The sequence below is a fragment of the Homo sapiens genome, chromosome 11 (assembly GCF_000001405.40).
Source record: "Homo sapiens chromosome 11, GRCh38.p14 Primary Assembly".
NCBI classification, from domain to species: Eukaryota; Metazoa; Chordata; class Mammalia; order Primates; family Hominidae; genus Homo; species Homo sapiens.
In genome coordinates, this window is record NC_000011.10 from 134478036 (window position 1) to 134505704 (window position 27669).

The window sequence follows — 27669 nt, forward strand, 5'->3', positions numbered from 1 at the left end:
CTCTCCCTTTGTGCCTCCTTGGGGACCTGGGCTATTTTCTCCTCCGTGAAAGAGAATGGATACATCCATTATGAAAACCAATTGATATAATTTGAGCCTGCATGCAGGTAAAAACTATATTAAGAAGGTTTATAAAATCTAACCTTCTGGCTTAACAAGCTGATTCTCAAAGTGGCCTCTCAGACCCTGGCTGAGGGATGGTGGTCAGGGGTTGCAGAGGGACCCGCACAGCTGCTGAGGAGGCTGTGGGACAGGAGGCGCTATCACTGTCTACCTCTTCCATCCATGCACCTGTGTGCAGGTGTGAGAAGGGCACCGTGCTGCAAAGAAGGGTCCTTTCCACCCTCTGCGGGTTGCTGCCGGCTCCCCGATGCCTGCCTCTGAGGCCTGAGCCTGGGGCTGGGGAGTGTGCTGGCCTCACCTCTGGAGGATACTGCCTCAGTGTTACAGCCTGACCCCCCACCTTGTCATCACTGCCTACTACAGACCAGAGGGGACGGCCACAGAGACTCTGCAACCATGGGCTCTGCCCTTCTTCCTTCTGCCTGTGTATCTGTGAAAAACTTTTTTTTTTTTAAATGGAGAAAGCTACCTTGACTTCTCAGAGAGTTGAATGGGGTCAGGGGATAGAATCTATATTTTTTAGTTATGGGCACTTACCCATATTCAAAAAGATTTGAGGAGGCTGGCAGAATGGAGCTGGGAGAAGAAAACCCTCCCCTGGGAGGAAGCTGTCCTGTGCATGTTGGCCAGGCTGCCTCTTTGATTAGGGACAATGGAAACCGGCCTGAGGGCACGGGTGAAAGCAGTTGAGTGTAGAGGAGGCTCTGCAGCAGAAGCCAGAGGACACAGGAGCCAGTGAAGACACACAATAAGTCAGAAAGGAGGGATCTTTGCAGCCCCAAAAGTAGAAATTCTTACCATCTACTGCAAAGAGCAAAAGTTGAAAATTGGTCTGATTTCTATCTAAATGTGCTTACATATTCGTGTTCTGTTAAATACTTCTGTAACCTGTGTGTCTCACATAAATGCAGCTTTCTTTAGTTTTGGAAATAAATCACATGAATCCTGAATAGTAGTCTTTAATAATTTGCTTAGTTGTAGGGCAGTGTTGTGTTTTCAGAAGGCAAGTGTATTTGCTAGAAGAGTGAGCTGGGAGGTGTGAACCACATCGTCACATCTGCTGTAAGCCTAGCCGTTCATAATACGGAGTTACAGTTAGGACACGTCGCCCTGAAGAGCTACCATCGAATGTGTGCTCATCAAATGCCTGGCAGCGTCCTCGGTGCTTCACCTGCCATAGCCGACAGTGGCTGACCTCCCATGCCTGTTGCCTTTTCTTTCTGTTGGATCAGGGATACACTGCCATGTGTGTTAAGAAAAGCTGGCCTTACCTACAGGGCTGGCCAGTCCCGGTCACGTTTCTAGTAAGCCATTGCCTTACATAAGGGTAACGGCATGGGACGCTATCTTAGCCAATGTGATAAAAGTGGACATGAGGTGAGAGGCTTCAGAGAGAGGTTTTAAAAAAGAGACAAAAGCAGGACGTTGCCTCTCTTCCTCCTCTCCACGTGTCCTACCCGGATGTGAAGCCAAAACAGATGCAGGCTTAGTGCAACCATGGGGAACCCAGCATAAGCACAGATTCAACAGCAGAAGAGTGGCAGAGGGAGAAGGTGAAAGGAACCTAGGTTTTCCTGTCCTTGTTGAGTCATTCAGTTAAAAATCCCTGGAATTTTCCTCTCTCCGGCAGTGTGTTTTGTGGGATAATGAGTTGCCTTATTGGGGTTGGCTTGCTAGTCGGGATGTTTCGCTCCCATCAACATCCATACGCTTGCTCTGTGAACCAATGACCTGATGAGGTAGTATTAGCACCACCATCATTATGCTGAGGATGAGATTTATGGCACAGTGGTTCAGTAGCTTGCCCAAGGCCATGCGGCTGGTAGGTTCTGGAGGAGGGCTCAGGGCACCCCCTGAGCTACCCCTGCTGGCCATTGCACCACCCCATAAAGCTGCTGGCAGTCACTTCTCTGAGGGGTTAGCATGTAAGAAATGTCCTCCTGAATGCTGGCCAGACAAATGGAAATCTGCCAGGGTTGGGTACCCCCATGACAGCAGCCAGCCTGCCCTCTTAGTCCCTGACAGCTGCAGTGACAGCATCTGTGATTGCAAAGCGTGACAATTTATATCTCTCATTTCATCACACCATCTATCAGCAGACAGTCAGGCTTTAAAAATCAATCCCACACTGACTCAGTCCCCAGCAGAGATGGCCTCTGACAACAGTATCCACACTGCAGGCTGGACAAGGGCCCTATTAATTTTGAGACTCAGCCAAATTTCCTTCTGACCCTAAGCTGGTGAATCCCTGCTCCTTTGCTTTGGTTGGGGTTGGTGTGAGCTAAGGCTGTGATCCCATTTGCTCCTATGGCCTCCAGGTGGCCTGGGCCTCCATGAATGGGCCACATGGTCATACTGAATGCTTGATTACACTCAGACCTAGCAGTCGTCTGGGCGCAGCTGGTTTATGGATCACTTTGTCACAATGTTCCATCCTTCCAGGTCCCCATCCCCGCGGTGGGAAAACATTGCTTTAGGCAGTGCTAGAGGACTTCAGCAGGCATTGGCAGCTTCTGGATTCAGGATTAGAACAAAGAAGGAGGAGTCACAGCAAAGATAGGAACAGAAGGCAGAGAGAACAGACAGATGGGGGTGTTTGAGAAGGAGGGCCTTTGAGACCTCAGGGAGTGGGAGACACTGGCTCGAGAATAATAATAATGGCAATTTCTCTCATCTGTGTTTTCAGGGCATGGACTGGAACTCCCAATACCCCTGACATGGGCTGAGTCAACGTGGTCATGAACATGTGACAGGTAGCAATGACAATGGCTATCTCTTCTTGAGTCCTTATTTTGTGCCATCACTTCATTAATTACATAGATGATCTCATTTGATCCTCATAACAACCCTGTGAAGTACATACTATTACTGCTTCCATTTTATGGATGAGTAACTGAGACCCAGTGGAATTAAGTTAGTTTTGCAAGGTCATATAACTGGTAGACATCAGAGCCTGGGATGGAACACAGATCTTCCCTTTCCAAGTTTAATGGGCTCCCAGCTAGCCTAGAGAGATGGTCCTGTTCCTGAGCCCTTAGGATAAATTTGCCTCTCACATCCAGAAGTTGGAAGAAATGCCAGAGAGTTGCACCTTTCATTAGGAGGCAGAGAGAAGAGTCCGTGACCGGGATTTGCTTGTGCAGTTGTTTATTAACTACCTGGGCATTTTGCTGATGGTGCAATTTGCAGAGCTGTTAATGGTAATGAAACTCCTGTGACTGTCAGGAGACACAGGGGAAGCCAAGGAGAAGTGAGAGGTGGCTGCCAGGTCCCTGAGCTGCCCTTTGCAGGGATTAATGAGGTCTGTGTCTTCTCCTGCTTTAGACAACTCCCGAAAATGTCAGGTGCCCCCTAGACTGTCCTGTGAGCCTGTCAGCCTCCCTTCCTGCCACACCAGTCATTGGAGGAGAAACTGCCATGATGTTATGCCTTTGCCGTTCCCTCCACACTTGAATTTGGGGCTCTGAGGGCTGTTCAGGCACACGTTGTATAGTTCCAGAGCCAACTTTGAGTCCAATCGCTGGACCTCCAAAATCATGCTTATTTAATGGCCTGTGTTGCTTTGTACAATAAGGGTTGAGAATCAATCAAATCCATAATGAGGGGAAGCTAGATTCTAGGCATTCAATGTCCATTCAGGTCCTTACAAGCTATGTATGGCTGTGGAGAAGAGGGAAATAGGAGAGTGCATGCACCAGCGGAGAGCCTGAGCTGAGCTCCCATCAAGCAGCCTCAAGCCTGGGCTCCTAGGGTGTGGGTTCTGAACGGTGGTTAAGCTCAGAGCCCTGGGGCCCTGCCTCTTCAGGGTTAAAGGAGCTGGAAGAGGCCACAGCAAAAGCTCGCAAAGTTGTCCTCCACTCTCAGCCCAAGGGTGTAGGTCTGCATCATTCCTTCCACTGTCACTGAGCACTTTTCGTGGGTCAGCCACTCCTCCAGTCTGGGGAAAAAGCACTGTTTAAGATGCAGGGCTGGAGTCCAGGAACTCCGTCTGGTGGCAGAGGTAGACAGGCAGCCAAGTTCATTTAAGGAGGAACAGTGGTGGCCACTGCTGGGAGGGAGTACCCAGGGAGGAGAAAGAAGTACCCAGGGAGGAGAGAGAAGTCCCCAGGGAGGAGAGAGATGAGAGGCAATGATTCCACCTGCGGGGGTCTGCAGAGCCCTCAGAGGGTTGCCACTGGGTGGGTGGGGGGCACTGAGGATTCCCCCAAGCAGAGAGATGGGGAAGAGGTGGTGGAGGGTGAGGGAAAGAAGGTGGGTTTCACAGCCTCAGAGTGGGCACAAACCTTGATTCTGAAAGATACTTGCTGTGAGACCTGGGCATGCTCATGAATGGGCCCCAACTTCAATTTCATCAGCAAAAGAAGGGTGAGGCCCATTTTTTGTGATTGCAGTCAGCATGTAATGTGGATGAGGCATCGATCCATGTGAGCACATTTCTCTGAATGCTGGTTTCTTCTCTACATTCCAGGAGGCAGCAGAAGTTGCAGAGAAGAGTGAGGCACGTTTGAAAAAGGCTGAAAAATGTTTCTGTCCAGGCAAGGGTGTGTGCTGAATGACTCAAGGATTTTTTGGGTATGTCATTTCCCATTTCTCACCCTCAAATAGGACTCCGCTTCCCATCTAAGCATTTGTATAAATATTGATTATTGGTTAGTGTGTATCAGAGAGCTATTGAGTAAAAATTATATCAGAAAAATTAAGAATCTCTAGAGATGGCAAGGTGTGAAACAAAAAACGCCAGGAAGGTAAATGCTCAAAGTTCACCACACACCACAGTGAGAAGTGTTGGGGGCCCAGGTCTCTGAGGCTGCCCAGAGGGGCTCAAGGTTTGTAGTGAATACAGGAATCAGCTGGAAGCTGTAGGCCATGTGACCCTTGGACCCCCATTCCAGGAGTAGTTGAACACGTCTGGGCAGGACCCCAGAATCTGCATTCCCAAGGGAGTGCCTGGTGATTCTAATACAGCAGGGCCTGATCCACCCTGAATCCATTGCCCATCTCCATCAAAGCTTCCTTTCACCAGTCAAGCCCCTGGCTGGGGAAAGGTCTGGAAACAGAAGTGGAGAATAAAGTTCTGGGAAGAGTTCTATCCCCATGGCCATCCTGCCAATAGGAAGCCTGCCAATGTCGTGGTCTCAGGGGTGTTGGGTGTGGCCCAGCTGGAGAAGCATCCCTGGGGGTGGTCAGGAGGCTTCTGGCTTCTGGGCCCTTCTGCAGCCAATGCCTAAGGCAGCGAGGCCAGCCATTCCTAGAGAGCCAACTCTCAGGCGGGGATCAGCTCCCACACACAGTGGGACTCGAGGGGCACTGGAGAGCTCCTCTTTCCAGAGTATCTCCCCCTCCGGCCGGAAGTTCTGTCTAACCGATACGGGTTATCCAGAGTATCTCCCCCTCCGGCCTGAAGTTCTGTCTAACCGATACGGGTTATCCAGAGTATCTCCCCTTCCGGCCGGAAGTTCTGTCTAACCGATACGGGTTAAAATCCTGAAGGCCCCCTGCCAGTGTGCAGGCATGATGTCCCAAAGGGGCAACATCTTAGACCAGCTGCACTCAGAGAGCTGCTCTAAGTAGAAGTGAGCCGGGCTCCGGAGCTGTGGACCAGGACACAGAGGGAATGACATATTCAGATTCAGTCTGAATCAAGAAGAAAAGTGTCCAGATGGGCATGAGTTATTTTAACCTGATGCATTTAACCCACTATTTATTTGGCTCTGAAATTGGTTCTGTGGAAAGACAGTTTCTGCTCCTACCCGGAGCACCCAATTAGTCACAATACTGGGAGACTCAAATCCATGTCAATAGGAACGTTGTATAGAGGGTGGTTGAAGATGAGGGCCTGGCATCTGGGTGAAGTATTGATGGATGTGCAGAATTCTAATGGCAGAAGTGAGGTATGTGTGCATGGGCGGGTGCGTGTGTGTGAGTAAGGTGAGGGTGTGTCTCCAGAGGAGGCAGTGGCCTAATAAAGTTCAGTTGAACTGAATGAAGGATCCTTACAGGAGGCAGTTAGGCTTGGGGCTTGAGGAACTCCTGAATGCCAGATTCAGAAGTCTGTACTTCTAGGGGAGCAGCTGGGGTTTCTGACCCAGAGACTGACATGTGCTTTGAAAAGCTGATCTGGTGGCGTAAGATTGGAGAGGGCCTGATGATGGCAGCACAGAGAACAGTCATGAGGCTCTTACAGCTGTCTAGCGTGGTGAAAGCTTGCCCCGGCAAGTGGCCTTTGGAGAAGAAATACTCTCAGGTAGTACTCACTAAGTGCCTGCCATATGCAGAGAGTTCACACTGGTAACTCTAATCGTAGCAATCAGCCAGTCGGGTGAAGGCGATTCCCACCGTTCATTCTTCCAACTCAATATGCATTGAGCGCTTCTTTGATCCACTTGTGGGATAGACACGGCCTTCACTCTCAGAGAGCCGACCTTCTCATATCTTTTGCATGGCTCTTTTCAGAGAGGAGAAAACTGAGAGAGAAAACCAGCAACTTACTCAAGGCTCACCAGCTAGTAACTGATGGGGTGTGGATTCAAACGTGTGCCTTGCTGGCTGCAAATGGCCTAAAAACACTCCCTGATATTTCCTGATCATTTCCTGGACAAGGTGATATGTGGATTATTATTTATGTGCTATCATTTGATCATCCTAACAACTTTAATGACGGAGGTATTAATTATAACCCATTTTTAGATGATGAAAGTGAGATGCAGAAAGGTGAAGCTGTCCAAGTCACAGTGAGTGGAAGAGCCAAAATTAGATATTTGTGTCCAGGCACGGAGGCTCATGCCTGTAATCCCAGCACTTTGAGAGGCCAAGGTGGGTGGATCACCTGAGGTCAGGAGTTTGAGACCAGCCTGGCCAACATGGTGAAATCCCATCTCTACTAAAACAAACAAACAAACAAACAAAAATTAGCCTGGCATGGCAGTGCACACCTGTAATCCCAGCTACTTGGGAGGCTGAGGCTGAGAATCACTTGAACTAGGGAGGCGGTGGTTGCAGTAAGCAGAGATTGAGCCACTGCCCTCCAGCCTGGGTGACAGACTGAGACTCCATCTCAAAGAAAAAAAATAGTTAGATCTTTGTTTCCAGGCCATCTGATATCAGAGCCTTACTCTTAAGCATTGCACTATCCAAAGATCCTCTCTCCCTCCCTCCCTTCCTTCTTCCCCAAAGAATTCAATATGGTTTTGGCAACCGTGTGCAGTGTGTGTGTGTAGGTGGTGGTGGGGAGGATAAAAAGAGAAGAGTCGAAGGTGGTGCTGGGTTCTCAACCCCGTGCCCCTGGCAGATAGGGAACCGGGAAGCAGAGCAGGCCTGGGTGGAGGTTTGGGGAAGGGGAGCCAGGAGGGAACCCTAGTGTGTGGCCTTGGGGATCCAGGGGCAGCAGAAGGATGTGGGTCCTCTGGAGGAAGAGAGACCGAATGGAGAGGAACCCTGAGTGGAAGACTGTTTTCATCTGTGGCCTGTATTCAGACAGCTGCAGACTGAGGTCCTGATAGGAGAAGGCATTGTCCAAGAACACACTGCTGGACAAGCTGGGGGTGTTGCTCTGACAATGAGAAGAATTCTGGATCGGGAAACAGGACTAGCTCAGGTGTGGGAGAGGGGCAGCTGCACGTCCCCACATGCGGGCTCCCTGTGCACAGGCAATGTGGCATATCTGAAGGTGCAGCCCCTGCCTTCAAGCCTCCATCATCTTCTCCCCAGGACAGGGATGACTGTAACTTTCTAGGCACCACCATCCAACTCATGTGCTGTGACCGTCTGTATGACATCTCTCTGTATGTATGTCTGTCTTCCCAGAGAGAATTGGAGTGTCTCACCAGAGGAGACCACGTCTGAAGGGCTTTGCATCCCTCCTTGGACATGTCTAATACCTAACACTCAGAAAGCATCCAGTAAATATTCGTGGAAAGAAAGGAGTGGAGAAGGGGAGAAAGGGGAAAGGGAGTAGGCGAGAGAGAAGAAAGACTCTGCTTCTTGCCCAGGGCCTGGCATGGGGCGGAGGCAAAGCAGTGGGGTCCTCAGCTATGTCCCACTGTGAGTGCACAGCGAGTCCTGACCTTCAGAGGGTGCAGCCCGAGGGGCCCTGGCCTGTCTGAAGGGTGCGCCAGCCGAGTGGCCTGCTCTGACCACCAGGCTCACCCATGACTACCTGGGTGGCTACAGCCAGTTCCTGACAATGAGTACAGCACTCAGTTATCGGGGCCCTTCCACCCACACGCTGTCCACTTCCTGGGGTACTGCTGTGGGCATGTGAGTGCTTGCTCCCCGGGGCACTGCTGTGGGCATGCGAGTGCTTGCTCCCCGGGGCACTGCTGTCCACTTCCTGGGGTACTGCTGTGGGCATGCGAGTGCTTGCTCCCCGGGGCACTGCTGTGGACATGTGATAGCTTGCTCCCCAGCTCCACTAGTGACACTGGCGGCCCCTCGCTGGGGCCTTCCCCGCCTGCTCCGCTCCATTACCGCTGCCGGGCTCCTCACGTCTCTCCTTGCTGCTTCCTGCACTGGGGTGAGGAGAGTGGGGCTGGTCCCCTTGAGACCGGAGAAGCTCCAGGCTTTTAAGGAAAACTGCCAGGGACGAAGAGAAGATATCACTTCCCCACGTGGTTGGCTTCCAGATTCAGAAGGAATGTCTGTCCTTGTGGATTCCGTACCAGATGACCCCAGATGCTGCCTCAGTACTAGGTCCCTGTGGCTCTGGAGCCTTTGCTGGGTCTGGGCAGTGTCTCTTCCTCTCCAGTTCATCCTTGGGTCTCTTCACCCTTGCCAGGGGCAGGCTTCCTGGTGAGAGGTCGACCTCCTGCATGAAGGCTCTCAAGAGGCCAGTTCAAAGCCAAGCTCCGGGTCTGTGCCTGTGGGGCTGCTCCTCGATCAGGAGATGGTCACTCCCCTCCTGGTCTGTATCTGTGGGATTCTCCTCCATCAGGAGATGGTCTCTCCCCTCCTGGTCTATACCCGTGGGATTCTCCTCCATCAGGAGATGGTCACTCCCCATCCTGGTCTATACCCGTGGGATTCTCCTCCATTAGATGGTCACTCCCCTCCTGGTCTATTCCCGTGGGGCTGCTCCTCCATCAGGAGGTGGTCACTCCCCCTCCTGGTCTATACCCGTGGGGCTGCTCCTCCATCAGGAGATAGTCACTCCCCCTCCTGGTCTATACCCGTGGGATTCTCCTCCATCTGGAGATGGTCACTCCCCTCCTGGTCTATACCCATGGGATTCTCCTCCATCTGGAGATGGTCACTCCCCTCCTGGTCTATACCCATGGGATTCTCCTCCATCTGGAGATAGTCACTCCCCTCCTGGTCTATACCCGTGGGGTTCTCCTCAATCAGGAGGTGGTCACTCCCCTCCTGGTCTATACCCGTGGGATTCTCCTCCATCAGGAGATGGTCACTCTCCCTCCTGGTCTATACCCGTGGGGCTGCTCCTCCATCAGGAGATGGTCACTCCCCTCCTGGTCTATACCTGTGGGATTCTCCTCCCTCAGAAGATGGTCACTCCCCCTCCTGGTCTATACCCATGGGATTCTCCTCCCTCAGAAGATGGTCACTCCCCCTCCTGGTCTATACCCGTGGGGCTGCTCCTCCATCAGGAGATGGTCACTCTCCCTCTCGGTTGCTCAGTCCAAAAACAACCTCTCTGGAAAACTGCGTGGAATTTTTTTTTAAAGAATTGAAACTAGAACTAGCATTTGATCCAGCCATCTGCCTACTGGGAATACACCCAAAGAAAAATAAATCATTATATCAGAAAGATAGAATATGCATGTGGATGTTCATTGCAGCACCATTTACTATAGCAAAGATGGGCAGTTGAGCTAAGTGTCCAACAGTGGTAGACTGGATAAAGAGAATGTGTTACACACACAGCATGGAATATTACTCAGGCATAGCAAAGAATGAAATCATGCCTTTTGCAGCAACATGGTTGGAGGTGGAGGTCAGGAGTTAGAGACCAGCCTGGCCAACATGGTGAAATCGTGTCTCTACTAAAAATACAAAAATTAGCCGGGCATGGGGGTGCACACCTGTAGTCCCAGCTACTCTGGAGGCTGAGGCAGGAGAATCGCTTGAACCCAGGAGGTGGAGATGGCAGTGAGCTGAGATCACACCACTGCACTCCAGCCTGGGCAACAGAGTGAAATCCTGTCTCAAAAACAAAAATAAAAACAAAAAAAGCATACAAACCACAGGAGCTCCTCTTGGTCCCCCTTTGTCTTTCATTCCACCTCCAGAAATCCCAGCAGAATCACCTTCAAAAACTCCTAGAATCCAATTTTTCCCCTCCATTGCTACTGCCCTGATCTGAGCCTCCATAACCCTTACCCAAATGCTTCCTAAACGTATCCTGGCTGGTGCTGCTGAATTCCATGTCTTTCCAGCTGCCCTTTAAAATACGGTAGGAGGCAAGTCTTTTCTCAAAACCCTCCAGTGGCTTCTCTCTCAGAGTTAAGATCCTGCAGTGGCCTTCCTGGCCTCAGGTAGTGTCTGCTGTCCTGTACCCTCGGCCACTATACTCCAGCCACATGGCTTTGTGTTTCCCTTGGACATATCCAGCATGTTTCTGCCCCACGGTTTTGGCACTTGCTGTCCTTTCTGCCTGGAGCTCCTTCTCCTCCCTCTGCACTGAAGACCCTCCCTTCCTTTCAGGATGGCAGAGACATTATGCTGTCATAACCACACCCCATATTCACCCTTACACGATGTGTCCCTCTCTGGCCAGCTAGGGGCTCAGCTCCATGAGCCCCTTGTCCTGGCAACAAAGCTGGCTGGGGCGGCCACCTGAAGTATGTCTCATGGAGCTGACTCAATGAGAGACACAGTTCATTCCATGCACAGTCCACGCCACAGTAAGTCACGTGGCCAGCGCTGACTTCCCCTGCACAGGAAGAACCTGCACCCACCACCCGCGGAGAAGGATCTAGAGCTGGGATGACTGAGCAGGATGCTAACAACCTCAAAGTTCTTCTTAGACCTCATGTCTTGAACAGCCCTAGGCAACATAGCAACACACGCCATGACAACCCCACAAGAAGGCAACCCGTCCTCTGACAGCTTCTGGTGACAAAGCCACCCCGCTTGTGACAACCTCAGGTCACACAGCAGCTCCTCCCCTGACAACCTAAGGTCACACAACAACTTCTCCTTTTAAAGTCTCAGGTGACACAGCAGACTCTCCCCTGACAAACTCAGGTCACACAGTAACCCTTCAGCTGACCTCAGGTGACACAGCCACCCCTCCCCTGACAACCTCAGGTCACACAGCCACCCCTCCCCTGACAACCTCAGGTCACACAGCCACCCCTCCCCTGACAACCTCAGGTCACACAGCTACCCTTCAACTGACAACCTCAGGTCACACAGCCACCCCTCCCCTGACAACCTCAGGTCACACAGCCACCCCTCCCCTGACAACCTCAGGTCACACAGCCACCCCTCTCCTGACAACTTCAGGTCACACAGCCACCCCTCCCCTGACAACCTCAGGTCACACAGCCACCCCTCTCCTGACAACTTCAGGTCACACAGCCACCCCTCCCCTGACAACCTCAGGCCACACAGCCACCCCTCACCTGACAATCTCAGGTGACACAGCCACCCCTCCCCTCACAACCTCAGGTCACACAGCCACCCCTCCTCAGACAACTTCTGACATAGCAACTCCTTGCCTGACAACCCTAGGTAACATAGCAACCCTCCCTTGACAACCCATGTGACATGGCAATGCTTCTCCTGACAGCCACATGTCAGCAACCTCTGCCTGACAACCCAGGTGACATAACAGCACCCCCCGACAACCGCATGTTACCTTGCCACCCTCCCATACCGACTGTATGTGGGTATCCCCTCCTACCCCGCCTTGGGAGCCCCATGTGAGGTAGCCAGCCTTTCCCTGGCCCTGGGCCCTCCATTTCTGCTTGCTGTCTCCTCTGTTCCTCCCAAGAACTCACTGCTCTACCGTGTAATCTCTTGTTTCTCTGCTGTCTTAGTCCGCTTGGGCTGCCGGAGGAGCACACCTTGGGCAGGGAGGCTTAGATGCACCTGTGCATGGTTCTGGAGGCCCAGGGCTGCGGAGGATCCACCTGTGCATGGTTCTGGAGGCCCAGGGCTGCGGAGGATCCACCTGTGCATGGTTCTGGAGGCCCAGGGCTGCGGAGGATCCACCTGTGCATGGTTCTGGAGGCCCAGGGCTGCGGAGGATCCACCTGTGCATGGTTCTGGAGGCCCAGGGCTGCGGAGCCTCTGTGTGCTGGGACCTTCCTGCTTTGCAGGCGGCTGCCTCCTCACTTGCCCTCACGCGGCTGCAGGCAGATGGAGAGATGCGGTGCTTCCTCCTCTTTCTCATCATGGGGGCTCCTCCCTGATGACCTGATTACCTCCCAAACACCCCATTTCCAAACACCATGGCACTGGGCATTGGATTTTGCTGTATGCATTCTGGGGGATACACTTCTGCTCACAGGCATTGGATTTTGGTGTGTGCATTCTGGGGGATACACTTCTGCTTACAGGCAGTGGATTTTGGTATGTGCATTCTGGGGGATACACTTCTGCTCACACGCATTAGATTTTGGTGTGTGCATTCTGGGGGATACACTTCTGCTCACACGCATTAGATTTTGGTGTGTGCATTCTGGGGGATACACTTCTGCTCACACGCATTAGATTTTGGTGTGTGCATTCTGGGGGATACACTTCTGCTCACACGCATTAGATTTTGCTGTGTGCATTCTGGGGGATACACTTCTGCTCACACACATTAGATTTTGCTGTGTGCATTCTGGGGGATACACTTCTGCTTACACCCATTAGATTTTGATGTGTGCATTCTGGGGGATACACTTCTGCTCACACGCATTAGATTTTGGTGTGTGCATTCTGGGGGATACACTTCTGCTCACACGCATTAGATTTTGGTGTATGCATTCTGGGGGATACACTTCTGCTTACACCCATTAGATTTTGGTGTGTGCATTCTGGGGGATACACTTCTGCTCACACGCATTGGATTTTGGTGTATGCATTCTGGGGGATACACTTCTGCTTACACGCATTAGATTTTGGTGTGTGCATTCTGGGGGATACACTTCTGCTTACAGGCAGTGGATTTTGGTGTGTGCATTCTGGGGGATACACTTCTGCTTACACCCATTAGATTTTGGTGTATGCATTCTGGGGGATACACTTCTGCTCACACGCATTAGATTTTGCTGTGTGCATTCTGGGGGATACACTTTTGCTCACACGCATTAGATTTTGCTGTGGGCATTCTGGGGGATACACTTTTGCTTACAGAAATTGGATTTTGGTGTGTGCATTCTGGGGGATACATTTCTGCTCACAGGCATTGGATTTTGGTGTGTGCATTCTGGGGGATACACTTCTGCTCACAGTCAGTGGATTTTGGTGTGTGCATTCTGGGGGATACACTTCTGCTCACACGCATTAGATTTTGCTGTGTGCATTCTGGGGGATACACTTTTGCTTACAGACATTGGATTTTGGTGTGTGCATTCTGGGGGATACATTTCTGCTCACAGGCATTGGATTTTGGTGTGTGCATTCTGGGGGATACACTTTTGCTTACAAGCATTGGATTTTGGTGTGTGCATTCTGGGGGATACACTTCTGTCCACAACACCTGTGTTGTGTACTGTCTCTCCTTGATCAGAGTGCAGTCTCTAAGGGGGTCTTTTTCGATTCTGTTCACTATGATGTTGTAGCATCTAGAACAGTGACCAGCATGTAGTGGGTTCAGAATCAATATTCTCTGCCTAACTGTTACGGCCTGAACTGTGGCTCCTTCTGATTTACATGTGAAAGCCCTAACCCCCCATGTAAGTGTATTTGGACATAGAGTCTTTGAGGAGCTCATAGGGTGGGGCTCTCATCAGATAAGACTGGTGTCCTTTTAGGAAGAGGAAGAGACACCAGGGCTGAGAGTGCCACATAGGGAAGGAAAGACCATGTGAGGACACAGTGAGAAGATGGCCATGTGCAGGCTAGGAAGGGAGGCCTCACCAGGCACCATCCTTGACCTTGAAGTCCCAGCCTCCAGAACTGTGAGCAATGAATGCCTGTTTTTTTTCTGTTTTTTTTGTTTTTATTTATTATCATTATTATTTTTATTATTATACTTTAAGTTCTAGGGTACATGTACACAACGTGCAGGTTTGTTACGTATGTATACATGTGCCATGTTGGTGTGCTACACCAATTAACTCATCATTTACATTAGGTACATCTCCTAATGCTATCACTCCCTGCTCCCCTACCCCACAACAGGCCCCAGTGTGTGATGTTCCCCTTCCTGTGTCCATGTGTTCTCATTGTTCAATTCCCACCTATGAGTGAGAACATGCGGTGTTTGGTTTTCTGTCCTTGCGATAGTTTGCTCAGAATGATGGTTTCCAGCTGTATCCATGTCCCTAAAAGGACATGAACTCATCCTTTTTTATGGCTGCATAGTATTCCATGGTGTATATGTGCCACATTTTCTTAATCCAGTCTATCATTGATGGACATTTATGTTGGTTCCAAGTCTTTGCTATTGTGAATAGTGTCACCATAAACATACATGCATGTGTGTCTTTATAGGAGCATGATTTATAATCCTTTGGATATATACCCAGTAATGGGATGGCTGGGTCAAATGGTATTTCTAGTTCTAGATCCTTGAGGAATCACCACACTGTCTTACACAATTGTTGAACTAGTTTACAATCCCACCAACAGTGTAAAAGTGTTCCTATTTCTCCATATCCTCTCCAGCACCTGTTGTTCCCTGACTTTTTAATGATCACCATTCTAACTGGTGTGAGATGGTATCTCATTGTGGTTTTGATTTGCATTTCTCTGATTGCCACTGATAATGAGCATTTCTTCATGTGTTTGTTGGCTGCATAAATGTCTTCTTTTGAGAAGTGTCTCTTTATATGCTTTGCCCACTTTTTGATGGGGTTGTTTGATTTTTTCTTGTAAATTTGTTTAAGTTCTTTGTAGATTCTGGATATTAGCCCTTTGTCAGGTGGGTAGATTGTAAAAATTTTCTCCCATTCTGTTGGTTGCCTCTTTACTCTGATGGTAGTTTCTTTGGTGTGCAGAAGCTCTTTAGTTTAATTAGATCCCATTGGTCAATTTTGGCTTTTGTTGCCATTGCTTTTGGTGTTTTAGACATGAAGTCCTTGCCCATGCCTATGTCCTGAATGGTATTGCCTAGGTGTTCTTCTAGGGTTTTTATGGTTTTAGGTCTAACATTTAAGTCTTTAATCCATCTTGAATTAATTTTTGTATAAAGTGTAAGGAAGGGATCTAGTTTCAGCTTTCTACATATGGCTAGCCAGTTTTCCCAGCACCATTTATTAAATAGGGAGTCGTTTCCCCATTTCTTGTTTTTGTCAGGTTTCTCAAAGATCAGATGGTTGTGGATGTGTGGTATGGCTCTGTTCTGTTCCATTGGTCTATATCTCTGTTTTGGTACCAGTACCATGCTGTTTTGGTTACTGTAGCCTTGTAGTATAGTTTGAAGTCAGGTAGCATGATGCCTTCAGCTTTGTTCTTTTGGCTTAGGATTGACTTGGCGATGCGGGCTCTTTTTTGGTTCCATATGAACTTTAAAGTAGTTTTTTCCAATTCTGTGAAGAAAGTCATTGGTAGCTTGATGGGGATGGCATTGAATCTATACATTACTTTGGGCAGTATGGCCATTTTCACGATATTGATTCTTCCTATCCATGAGCATGGAATGTTCTTCCATTTGTTTGTGTCCTCTTTTATTTCATTGAGCAGTGGTTTGTAGTTCTCCTTGAAGAGCTTCTTCACATCCCTTGTAAGTTGGATTCCTAGGTATTTTATTCTCTTTGAATTAATTGTGAATGGGAGTTCACTGATGATTTGGCTCTCTGTTTGTCTGTTATTGGTGTATAGGAATGCTTGTGATTTTTGCACATTGATTTTGTATCCTGAGACTTTGCTGAAGTTGCTTATCAGCTTAAGGAGATTTTGGGCTGAGACGATGGGGTTTTCTAAATATACAGTCATGTCATCTCCAAACAGGGACAATTTGACTTCCTGTTTTCCTAATTGAATACCCTTTATTTCTTTCTCCTGCCTGACTGCCCTGGCCAGAACTTCCAACACTATGTTGAATAGGAGTGGTGAGAGATGGCATCCCTGTCTTGTGCCAGTTTTCACAGGGAATGCTTCCAGTTTTTGCCCATGCAGTATGACATTGGCTGTGTGTTTGTCATAAATAGTTCTTATTATTTTGAGATACATCCCATCAATACCTAATTTTTTGAAAGTTTTTAGCATGAAGGGCTGTTGAATTTTGTCAAAGGCCTTTTCTGTGTCTATTGAGATAATCATGTGGTTTTTGCCTTTGATTCTGTTTATATGCTGGATTACGTTTATGGATTTGCATATGTTGAACCAGCCTTGCATTCCAGGGATGAAGCCCACTTGATCATGGTGGATAAGCTTTTTGATGTGCTGCTGGATTCAGCTTTCCAATATTTTATCGAGGATTTTTGGATCAATGTTTATCAGGGATATTGGTCTAAAATTCTCTTTTTTTGTTGTGTCTCTGCCAGGCTTTGGTATCAGGATATGCTGGCCTCATAAAATGAGTTAGGGAGGATTTCCTCTTTTTCTATTGATTGGAATAGTTTCAGAAGGAATGGTACCAGTTCCTCCTTGTACTTCTGGTAGAATTCAGCTGTGAATCCATCTGGTCTTGGACTTTTTTTGGTTGGTAGGCTCTTAATTATTGCCTCAATTTTAGAGACTGTTATTGGTCTATTCAGGGATTCAATTTCTTCCTGCTTTAGTCTTGGGAGGGTGTATGTATCCAGGAATTTATCCATTTCTTTTAGATTTTCTAGTTTATTTGCATAGAGGTGTCTCTGATGGTAGTTTGTATCTCTGTGGGATAGGAGGTGATATCCCCTGTATTATTTTTTATTGCATCTATTTGATTCTTCTCTCTTTTCTTCTCTATTAGTCTTGCTAGTGGTCTATCAATTTTGTTAATCTTTTCAAAAAAAACAGCTCCTGGATTCATTGATTTTTTGAAGGGTTTTTTGTGTCTCTATCTCCTTCAGTTCTACTCTGATCTTAGTTATTTCTTGCCTTCTGCTAGCTTTTGAATGTGTTTGCTCTTGCTTCTCTAGTTCTTTTAATTGTGATGTTAGGATGTCAATTTTAGATCTTTCCTGCATTCTCTTGTGGGCATTTAGTGCTATAAATTTCCTTCTACACATTGCTTTAAATGTGTCCTAGAGATTCTGGTATGTTATGTTGTGTCTTTGTTCTCATTGGTTTCAAAGAACTTCTTTATTTCTTCCTTCATTTTGTTATGTACCCAGTAGTCATTCAGGAGCAGGTTTTTCAGTTTCCATGTAGTTGAGCGGTTTTGAGTGAGTTTCTTAATCCTGAGTTCCAGTTTGATTGCATTGTGGTCTGAGAGACAGTTTGTTATAATTTCTGTTCTTTTATATTTGCTGAGGAGTGCTTTACTTCCAACTATGTGGTCAATTTTGGAATAAGTGCAATGTGGTGCTGAGAAGAATGTATATTCTGTTGATTTGGGGTGGAAAGTTCTGTAGATGTCTATTAGGTCCACTTGGTGCAGAGCTGAGTTCAATTCCTGGATATCCTTGTTAACTTTCTGTCTCATTGATCTGTCTAATGTTGACAGTGGGGTGTTAAAGTCTCCCATTATTATTGTGTGGGAGTCTAAGTCTCTTTGTAGGTCTCTAAGAACTTGCTTTATGAATCTGGGTGCTCCTGTATCGGGTGCATATATATTTAGGATAGTTAGCTCTTCTTGTTGAATTGATCCTTTTACCATTATGTAATGGCCTTCTTTGTCTCTTTTGATCTTTGTTGGTTTAAAGTCTGCTTTATCAGAGACTAGGATTGCAACCCCTGCCTTTTTTTTGTTTTCCATTTGCTTGGAAGATCTTCCTCCATCCCTTTTATTTTGAGCCTATGTGTGTCTCCGCACATGATATGGGTCTCCTGAATACAACACACTGATGGGTCTTGACTCTTTATCCAATTTGCCAGTCTGTGTCTTTTAATTGGAGCATTTAACCCATTTACATTTAAGGTTAATATTGTTATGTGTGAATTTGATCCTGTCATTATGATGTTAGATGGTTATTTTGCTCGTTAGTTTATGCAGTTTCTTCCTAGCATCAATGGTCTTTACAATTTGGCATGTTTATGCAGTGGCTGGTACTGATTTTTCCTTTCCATGTTTAGTGCTTCCTTCAGGAGCTCTTGTAGGCAGGCCTGATGGTGACAAAATCTCTCAGCATTTGCTTGTCTGTAAAGGATTTTATTTCTCCTTCACTTATGAAGCTTAGTTTGGCTGGATATGAAATTCTGGGTTGAAAATTCTTTCTTTAAGGATGTTGAATATTGACCCCCACTCTCTTCTGGCTTGTAGAGTTTCTGCCGAGAGATCAGCTGTTAGTTTGATGGGCTTCCCTTTGTGGGTACACCCGACCTTTCTCTCTGGCTGCCCTTAACATTTTTTCCTTTATTTCAACTTTGGTGTATCTGACAATTGTGTGTCTTGGAGTTGCTCTTCTTGAGGAGTATCTTTGTGATGTTCTCTGTATTTCCTGAATTTGAATGTTGGCCTGCCTTGGTAGGTTGGGGAAGTTCTCCTGGATAATATCCTGCAGAGTGTTTTCCAACTTGGTTTCCTTCTCTCTGTCACTTTCAGGTACACCAATCAGACGTAGATTTAGTCTTTTCACATAGTCCTATATTTCTTGGAGGCTTTGTTCATTTCTTTTTCTGTTTTTTCTCTAAACTTCTCTTCTCGCTTCATTTCATTCATTTGATCTTCAATCACTGATACCCTTCCTTCTGGTTGATCGAATCGGCTACTGAAGCTTGTGCATTCATCACGTAGTTCTCGTGCCATGGTTTTCAGCTCCATCAGGTCATTTAAGGTCTTCTCTACTCTGGTTATTCTAGTTAGCCATTCGTCTAATGTTTTTTCAAGGTTTTTAACTTCTTTGCCATGGGTTCAAACTTCCTCCTTTAGCTTGGAGAAGTTTGGTCATCTGAAGCCTTCTTCTCTCAACTCGTCAAAGTCATTCTCTGTCTATCTTTGTTCTGTTGCTGGTGAGGAGCTGCATTTCTTTGGAGGGGGAGAGGAGCTCTGATTTTTAGAATTTTCAGCTTTTCTGCTTTGGTTTCTCCCCATCTTTGTGGTTTTATCAACCTTTGGTCTTTGATGATGGTGACATACCGATGGGGTTTTGGTATGGATGTCCTTTCTGTTTGTTAGTTTTCCTTCTAGCAGTCAGGACCCTCAGCTGCAGGTCTGTTGGAGTTTGCTGGAGGTCCACTCCAGACCCTGTTTGCCTGGGTATCACCAGTGGAGTCTGCAGAACAGCAAATATTTCAGAACAGCAAATGTTGCTGCCTGATTGTTCTTCTGGAAGCTTCGTCTCAGAGGGGCACCCTGCCGTGTGATTGAAGTCCCCCATTGTTTTGTTTTGGCAGCTGATTTAGTAAACAAACAAGAATGAAGAAGGAAACCATAGCTGAGTGGCAGAGCGTGCCTGGCTGTTTACACAGGACTCCAGGGCAGGGCTCCTGGAGAGGGACGTGCCAGAGGGATGGGCCGAGGCCCAGGAGGAAGTGAACCTGCTCAGGGGCAGAAAGGAGACAAGAGAGAGGTGAGAGAGGAGGGCAAGAGCCAGGCCTTGGAGGCTGGGCCACCAGGAAATGAGTTTGCACCTTATTGGGAAGCCACTGGGAGGCTTGAAGGAGGGTAACAAACTATGATTTTAGAGACCAAAAAAAGGGTTCCTTGGTGCCTGGGTGGAGGACGGGCTTCAGAGGAAGAAACTGTGAGCTCCTGGAGTGCAGGCATGAAGGCAGGAGTGTCCTCGCTCCAGCCCTGGGCACGGGCCTAGCTCCTTGGTGCTCAGTGTGTAGTGGGGGCATGTATTAACTGGAATGGTGCTTTGCTTTTGTTCTCTGTACTTTGGGTGGTGGACAGCTTTCCTCTGTGGTGCTCTTTCTCCTTCCCTTCATTTTCCCAGGGGTCCATCCTCTGCATTTACCTGGGAGGGAGCTCTGTTACCTGGGGAGGGGCTCACAGTCCTAGGCAGAATGGGGGCTCCCAGTGCCAGCTCCTAGGGCAGGAGCGACAGCCTCAGAAGCCTCAGCACTCAGATCTGTATCACGGTCCCAACCAGAGCCTTGTTGTGTGCAGAGCCCTCCCTCTGCAGTGAAGAGCCTGAGGAAGCCATGTTCTCGCTGAAGCCGGAGTGGGCTGGCTGGGTGCCTGGCTCTGGCACTGAAGCTGCCTCTCGGCTCACCTCCCAAGCAGCAGGGCATCTTGGGGGAAGGCAGTGTCAGCCCATGGTGCTTTGCTCTGTCTCTGGCTCCTGGACTGGGCTCTGAGCCCAGACAGTTTAATGCCACTGTGGACTTCATTCCAGGGGGTGTGGGGACCTCTGGAGAGTTCCACAACCCCATGGGGTAGGGCTCCTGGTGCTGGTTGAGGCCAGGCCTTCAGTTGGACACAATTTTGTCGTTGCCGCCACTGACTGCCATCTGGGTCGCTGCTGTTAGTTCCCAGTGGGGCTCAGCTCCCCTACAGATGATCTCTGTAGCTCACCCCAGCCTGCAGATGGAGAAAAACAGTAGGCCCTGCCGGAACACGCTTTGGGAGCAGCCCATGGTGGCCTGGGGGCTCTACAGGAGCTTCCCCTCCCCCTCCCACCAGTGAAGAGGAAGGTGCCACCGGTACCCGAGAGTGTTGTGTGTGCCTCCATGCCTCCCATGTGCAGCGTGGCTGTGCACGTGTGAGAGTGGGTGAACATGCCCACGTGTGCATGCAGGTGCGTGTCCCACAAGACACCCGTGCTCACATGCACACTCCTGTGTGTCTGCTCATGTGTCTGTGTATGTACTCGACTCAACCCAGGTTTATCGAAGACCTGTTATTGAAGGTCTGCTATGGGCCAGGCCCTGTAGGGTACTCCGGGACTGCAAACTCGATCTTTTTTTGCTCTTATGGACTGTTTAGTCCAACAGGGGAGGCGGATATGAATTGAGCAATTAAAGGTTACATGTAAACTGTCAAATGTGAGACACGCTCCTGTGAGTTTTCATGTATTAGTGAATGGACGCTTCTGAGGGGCATCTGTGTCCCTGGGAGGAAACTTGTGTCTGCTGGTGCTCCCGTGTGTGCCTGTGCACACCCATGCTGGTTCTTGCACACACCTCGTCTCTATAAGAGGGCTGCAGAAAAGAAGACTGGATGTGCACGACATACTGAATCTGAGGATCTGGAAAGAGAGAGCAGGGAGCAATGTCTGAGGATGTCCTGGAGACTCTGTTGATGGGCCCCAGGAGACCGAGCCATGCACGGGACTCTCAGGTCCCTGAAAGAGCCGTTGAGTGGCCTGGTGGGACCACTCAGAGTCTGGCCATCACCCTCACTCTGCCCCGATCAGTGATATGATCTCAGGCTGTCGCCTTGGTTTTCTCATTCGTAAAATCATGATCGTAGACTAAACAGTCCTGAAAGCACTATTGAACCTTGACATTCCATGAGTCTGGACATGACCCCTGCCCTTAGGGATTGTATCTTACAAATAGGGCTCGAAGAGATACCTAAGTACATAACCGCAAACACTCACACACAAACAATCACACACGTACACTCTCACACACATGCACACACACGCACACACACGTACACATGTGCACGGGCATGGAAATGTATAAGGTTGAGTGAAGGAGCTCCCAAATAAGTAGTCAGAGGAGGCCTCTTGGAGGCATTAAAGACATGATTGGAAAGCTTGATCTTGGCAGGGAGGGGAGAGGAGGTCTCCAGAGCTGCTGGGGACATGGTGGGCTGCCTGTGAGTGTCGGCGGCTTGGAACCTTTGGAGGGCAGCGGGGGCTTAGTTTGCACTTCCAGTGTGGAAACCAGAGGTGTGTGAGTTGGCTCAGGCTGTCCTATGATGAACCTCCCAGGGGTTGGGCGGCTCAGCTCTCAGAATTGTGTAAGGAACTCCCAAGGCTGGAAGTCTGAGATCAAGCTGTCAGCAGAGTTTGTTCCTTCTGAGGCTTCCTCTCCTCTCGGCTTGCATGTGACTACGTGGCTATCTTCTCCCTGTGTCCTCACATGGCCGTCCTTCTGTGTGTCTGTGTCCCAGGCTACTCTTCTTAGGAGGACGCCAATCATCCTGGATGGGGGCTGCTCCAGTGACCTCCTGTTGCCTTCATGGCCTCTTTAAGGTCCTGTCTTCAAATACAGTCAAGTTTTGAGGCATTAGAGGTCAAGACTTCAACATATGAATTTCTGTGGGACACAATTCACACATAACAGAAGGGGTGGCATAAACTTCCTCCTGTGAGTTGAGACACAGGAAGAGCAGCCAGACATGGGCAAGTGTGGAGGAGAGTGGCCTCTTTCCACCTGTGGATGTGGAGTGTTGCCCAGAGAGGCAGGTGAGTGGGGCTTGCCCAGGACCTGGCCAAGCACCAGCCACTGAATCCTTGGTCTCTATAAAACGAGGCTGAGCCTGCCAGCTTGGCCAACTACACATGGTGGTGGGGTGCAAAGGAGCGAGTAAAGTTTAGAGTGTTACGCAAAGAGACAGTCGTCAGAATAACGTGAGTAATTCCTTGGTGCTGAATGCACGCCGGACTGTGCTAAGAGATGTGCCTGCGTGGCAGGGTGGATTTGCAAGTTCTTATTCTCACAGGTGGCCTGACCTGATGGAATGGGGAGTGCAGCTCAAGGCCCAGACAGAGACCCACACTCTTTTTCCATAATTATATAAATGTCAGAAGTAAGGCTCAGATGCTTGAAGTCATTCGGAGTCACCAAGCCGGTATCCAATGCTGATGGCTTGTACATTCTTCTGGATTTTGTGTGGGCTGCAATTGCACTGCATTTATTTTAGAGATGTTTGAGAGATGCATTTATTTTGTAGTTGTTAGATCTTCTGCTTTCCTAAGCAGATGGAAGAGGGCACAGAAGTGCACACACAGAGTGCCGTGCCGTGGGCAAGGCTGAGGAGTGGAACGTACAGTCTCGCTGTGGGGGTTCCTTTTGCTGTTGATGCTTCATGATGAAATTCTAGACATTTGGGGCAGTTTTATTGGGGGAGAAATTTGGGGCAGGTTGAGAGGAGAGCTTTTTGGCATCCTGGAAATGTGCTGTCCAGAGGTTTCCCTTTCCACAAATGATGCGTAACACACGTGCGCTTGAGCGAGGCCCGTGAAAGGCCTTGCATTGCTTTTCTGCTCTGGAGCGCCGCTGCACACCCCAGCCCTGGACAGTCTTGAGCTCTGCCTGACACTGCACATCCCAGCCCTGGACAGTCTCGAGCTCTGCCTGACCTGGGGGAGCACTGCTCTTCTCTGCCCTTATTCTTCCCCAGGCCAGGCAGCTTCCAGCTAACCTTGTCCAGCAGGCAGGGTGGCTGCTCTCCTGCCCGTGAATGTGAAGAGCTGATTTTTCCAGCAAGTAAGGCTTTGGTGTAGGGCTGCCCTACGCTTCCCTCTCAGCATGTTCTAGCAGCTTGTTGCATGAAATCACTCACTTGAGTGGCTTTTGCTGCAGCCTGAAGCCGTGCCATCCAAACCAATCCCTTTCCGTCTTGACCACCTCACCCCAAATCCAGAGGCCTCAGTGTGCCTCCTGGCCCTGCATGCCAGCCAGTCTCATCACCTGGCTGAGTGTGGAGGAGCATGGCCAGGCGTCTGAAGGGTGGGCCAGGTCCAGGGGCAGGGGCTGGGCAGGGGCTGGGCTGGGCAGGGATGGGGAAGACAGCCTCCTGCTGTGGTAGGGAACTGAGGGAGCTGCACAGGGTGGGGCCAGAGGCAGGAGGTGGGGCTCCGGGGTCTCCAGAGCCTAGGAGGGACTTAGGAGATTCCTGCCTGGGGAGAGCCGGATCCTGGAAACAGGACTCTTCCTATCCGGGCAGGTTTTGGCAGGTCATCTTCCCAGCACTGCCTGGTGGTTAAAGGAAAGATTTTAAACCCATGCGGACCTGAGCTCCACATTAAATGTAGAACCCTAGGTGGCTTCACCGCCTGGGCCTTGTTCCATCCCACAGCTGTTAAATGCCAGTGATGCCAGTGCTGAGAGGCTGTGTGAGGCTTCAGCGAGGTGTGCATGGACGGGGTGGGGTGTTGGGCAGGGCATAGATCTGGCTCTGGGGGTGCTTATTTGGGGGTGCATCAGAACTTCCAAGCACAGTGGGGACCCTCAGGGTGCTGAGGTGGGAGAGGGAGGGTCTCACTGCATGGGCCTCCTTCCCTCTCTCTCCCCCATGTGTCACCCCCTTCTCGTCTCTCCATTTCTGATGATTGGACCTTGGGGCCTCTTCCCCTTTGAAGACCCTGCCCGGGCTTCTGCTGGTGCCGGGTGTGCTTGAGCCTCCCTCGTGGGCCCTGATCCCACATCCTCCCCAATGTCCTCCTGAAACCCAAAAATTATTTCCCAATGTGCTTTCCAGACTCAAATGACCCCACCCCACCTGCCCCACCAGGACTCTCCTCAAAGGAAACAACTTTAGGGAAAAAAGTGAAGCTGTTTTAAATATAAATGGCCAGGGCACAGTAGGCTCTTATTAAAATACAGAGAGATTAACAAGGTCTCATTCCCCTCAATTATTAACAATGTACTTGTTCTTCAGGAAAGTACCATGAAAATTTAAAACAGATGAAAATGGTTGTTCACGTAAAACTGCTCAGTTAATCTGTGGGGAATGTTTTATTCAGTGCATTGAATGAACAGCGGGACATTGGACACCTGCTGATCCATCACCCCGGGCCCGGGCAGGCCCGTGGATGAAGAGAGATGGAGAAGACCAGGCATGAGACTGTGGAGAAGCCACACCACCAGAAACCCCTGCCCCATGCGCCGTCCAGCCCACACCTGTGGATGCACGGGGGATTGCAGGCAGGGCTCCCACCGTGGACTCAGGAACAGGCAGGGAAGCTGCTGCCTCACCAGGCGAAGGGGCCAGGAGGGGGAGGCGGAGAGGCCCGTCTAGCCCCTGCGGCTGTCACCGTGGTGCCTCCTCACTGGCCAGTGCGGTCGCGCCTCAGCTTCGTTAATAGGGGAGGGGGCCTAAGAGTTTTCACGTCCAGGCTCGGGCAGTGGGGAGGCAGGCAGGAGTGGCCGCTGGTTTTTCAGACCTCCCAGGGAGGCCGAGGAAATGGCCCGTCCTGGAGTGGGCGTGGTTCTGTCTTCAGATGGATGCTGGAGGGTTGGGCTGCGTGGGACCCTGGGCCCTGCTGCTTCCCGGAGGATGCGCTGTCCGGGGCTGCACAGGTTGGCTGTGTTTTTTGGATGCTTGATATTTTGTTTTTTCTTCTCTTCACTCTGTCATGAAACTGGCAATAGTAGTTTGTAAATAAATATGTGTTATAGATGAATATTTGCTATGAGTAAATTAATAAAGGAGTGAATAAATGAGCGATTGATGTAGGGCCTGTCCTGTCTCAGGGAGCCCCACGAAGGCCTGCGCGCCGGCCAGAGCCTGCCTGCCTGCCAGGGTACTGGGACGTCACTCTCAAAGCGGCGGGACCCAGCCGCTGATCTTGCTGAGGAGGCCCGGTCTCAGAAAACTGAGCGGCTGCTTCTGCAGACCCTGCATCCTCCCCTCCCTGGAGAAAGAAGCTCTGGCTGAGTCCTGGGACCGAACCCTTGGGTGCCACAGAAACGGGCTTTGCTGCCTGTCAGTCAAGCGGCGGGAGAAACAGACCTGGGGAGGAGGAGGCTGGGAGGGCTGTGTTTTCTGCACAGCGAGTAGCTCCTTAGCCTGGTGCCATTTCTCTCCAAACACCCTGAAGGTTGAGTCCAGGGTGAAGATGTAGAGGCAAGTTTTGGGGGGATGGAGTGGGCTTGGAGGGATGCTGGCGCCTTAGCAGGCTGTGCTCCTGAGGTGCCCAGTGTCTGCGGGCACAGGAACATGTTGCCGAGGGCATTTGGGTGTGGGTGGGGTGGGGAAAGGGAGACAGGGCTGTCTCTTTTAATGGGTATCTGCGAGCATGTGATTGTAAGAGAGGAAGAAGTAGGGGAGGAAGAAGGCCTCCTTGGGAGGTGCGTCATCCTGAGGAAGGCTGAACAATGAGGGTCTTGGAGAGTCAATTCAGAAGCACAACCTTGCAGAGCAGGCAAAAACAATAGGGCTTCTTGAGGCTGCCCGGGCACTCATGCAATCACCATTTCCTGCTGTGAATGAGCCTACATTTTGTTGGGGAAGAGACGCAACGACGCCAAACGATGGACTCTGAGTCAACGATAAGATGAAACAAAATTAAAACAAAGTAGGAAATCAAGAGTGGCTGCTGTGATGGCGTTGCGGAGATGATGTTTGCTTTGAGAACTGGACAAGTGAGCCCCTGAGCTGCATCTGCACCCAGAGGCTGAGCCGGTGCACAGGACTTGCAGAGGGATGGGCCTGGGCTTGTAGAGCAGCACAACGGCCCCAGGCCTGGAGGAGCAAGGGTGGGAAGGGGGGCAGGCCAGCTCCTGCCAGGCTGGAGAAGGACTCGGACCTCAGGCCACCTGTGCCTGGGTGATTGTGAACTTGTAACAAATGTGATCTTATTTATGTTTTGAAAAAGGCAACACAAACCAACACGAGCCGTGTGAGGATCAGGTGACAGCTGCCCAAAAGCTGACACAAGGAACAAGCCTGGAGGAGTGAGGATGGGTGCTGTGAAGGAGGTTGTGCAGCTGGGCCCGCAGTCGGACCTGGTGAGATCAGAGGAGGGGGTGCCACCAGTCTGTGGACGAAGATGAGAAGCTGGAATAGAGCAGAAAACAGGAGGCTGCCACTCTCCATCTTTCCCAAAGTCACTCCAGGAGCAAGGGTGTCATTTACTGAAATGACAGACTCTCCATTTCACATTTTTCCCCCAAGTGCAGAGTGCAGGGAAGCAGATGGGCTAAATTTTTAGAGTCAGGGTTATTAATGTATACTTTACATAGTAAACTTTCCCCTTTTAAGTGTGCAGGCCTGAGGTTTGCCAAATATGTGTAGGCATTTAATCACCACCACGATCAAGATGTAGAATATTCCCACTATCAAAAAGTTTGCTGTGTCCCTTGATGGTCATGCCCCATTCCACAGCCCCAGCCCCAGCCCCTGGAGATTGCTGTCTGCTTTATGTTCCAGTGGTTTTATCTTTTCCAGACTGTATGGATGTGAATGGAATCAGATGTGATTCCAAGGTGTTTTATCTTTTCCAGATGTGAATGGAATCAGATGTACGAAATCCTATGGTAGGGGGTCTTCTGAGTCTAGCTCCTTTTGTTTAGCGTGATGCATTTGAAATTAATCCATGTCTCAGGCATCAGGAGTTCATTTCTTTTTCTGCTGAGTAGTATTTCATTGTATGGATGTACTGCAATTTGCCTATCCATTCACCTGTTGATGTACATTTGAGATTTTTGGCAATTATGAATAAAGCTGCTATAAACAGACATGGATTTTATGTAGACACGTCTTCATTTCTGTTGAGTAAATAA

At 49.6% G+C, this 27669-nt stretch overlaps 1 long non-coding RNA gene across 1 annotated transcript in view; it reads left to right on the forward strand.

The window, feature by feature from the left end:
• B3GAT1-DT (B3GAT1 divergent transcript) overlaps positions 1 to 27626 on the forward strand; it is a 69180-nt gene extending 41554 nt beyond the window's left edge. Inside the window, exons 4-6 of the long non-coding RNA NR_033852.1 lie at positions 2810 to 2876; positions 4592 to 4695; positions 26763 to 27626. This is a non-coding gene — a long non-coding RNA (B3GAT1 divergent transcript). The remainder of the gene's footprint in view (positions 1 to 2809; positions 2877 to 4591; positions 4696 to 26762) is intronic.
• The last annotated feature ends 43 nt before the right edge of the window (positions 27627 to 27669 follow it).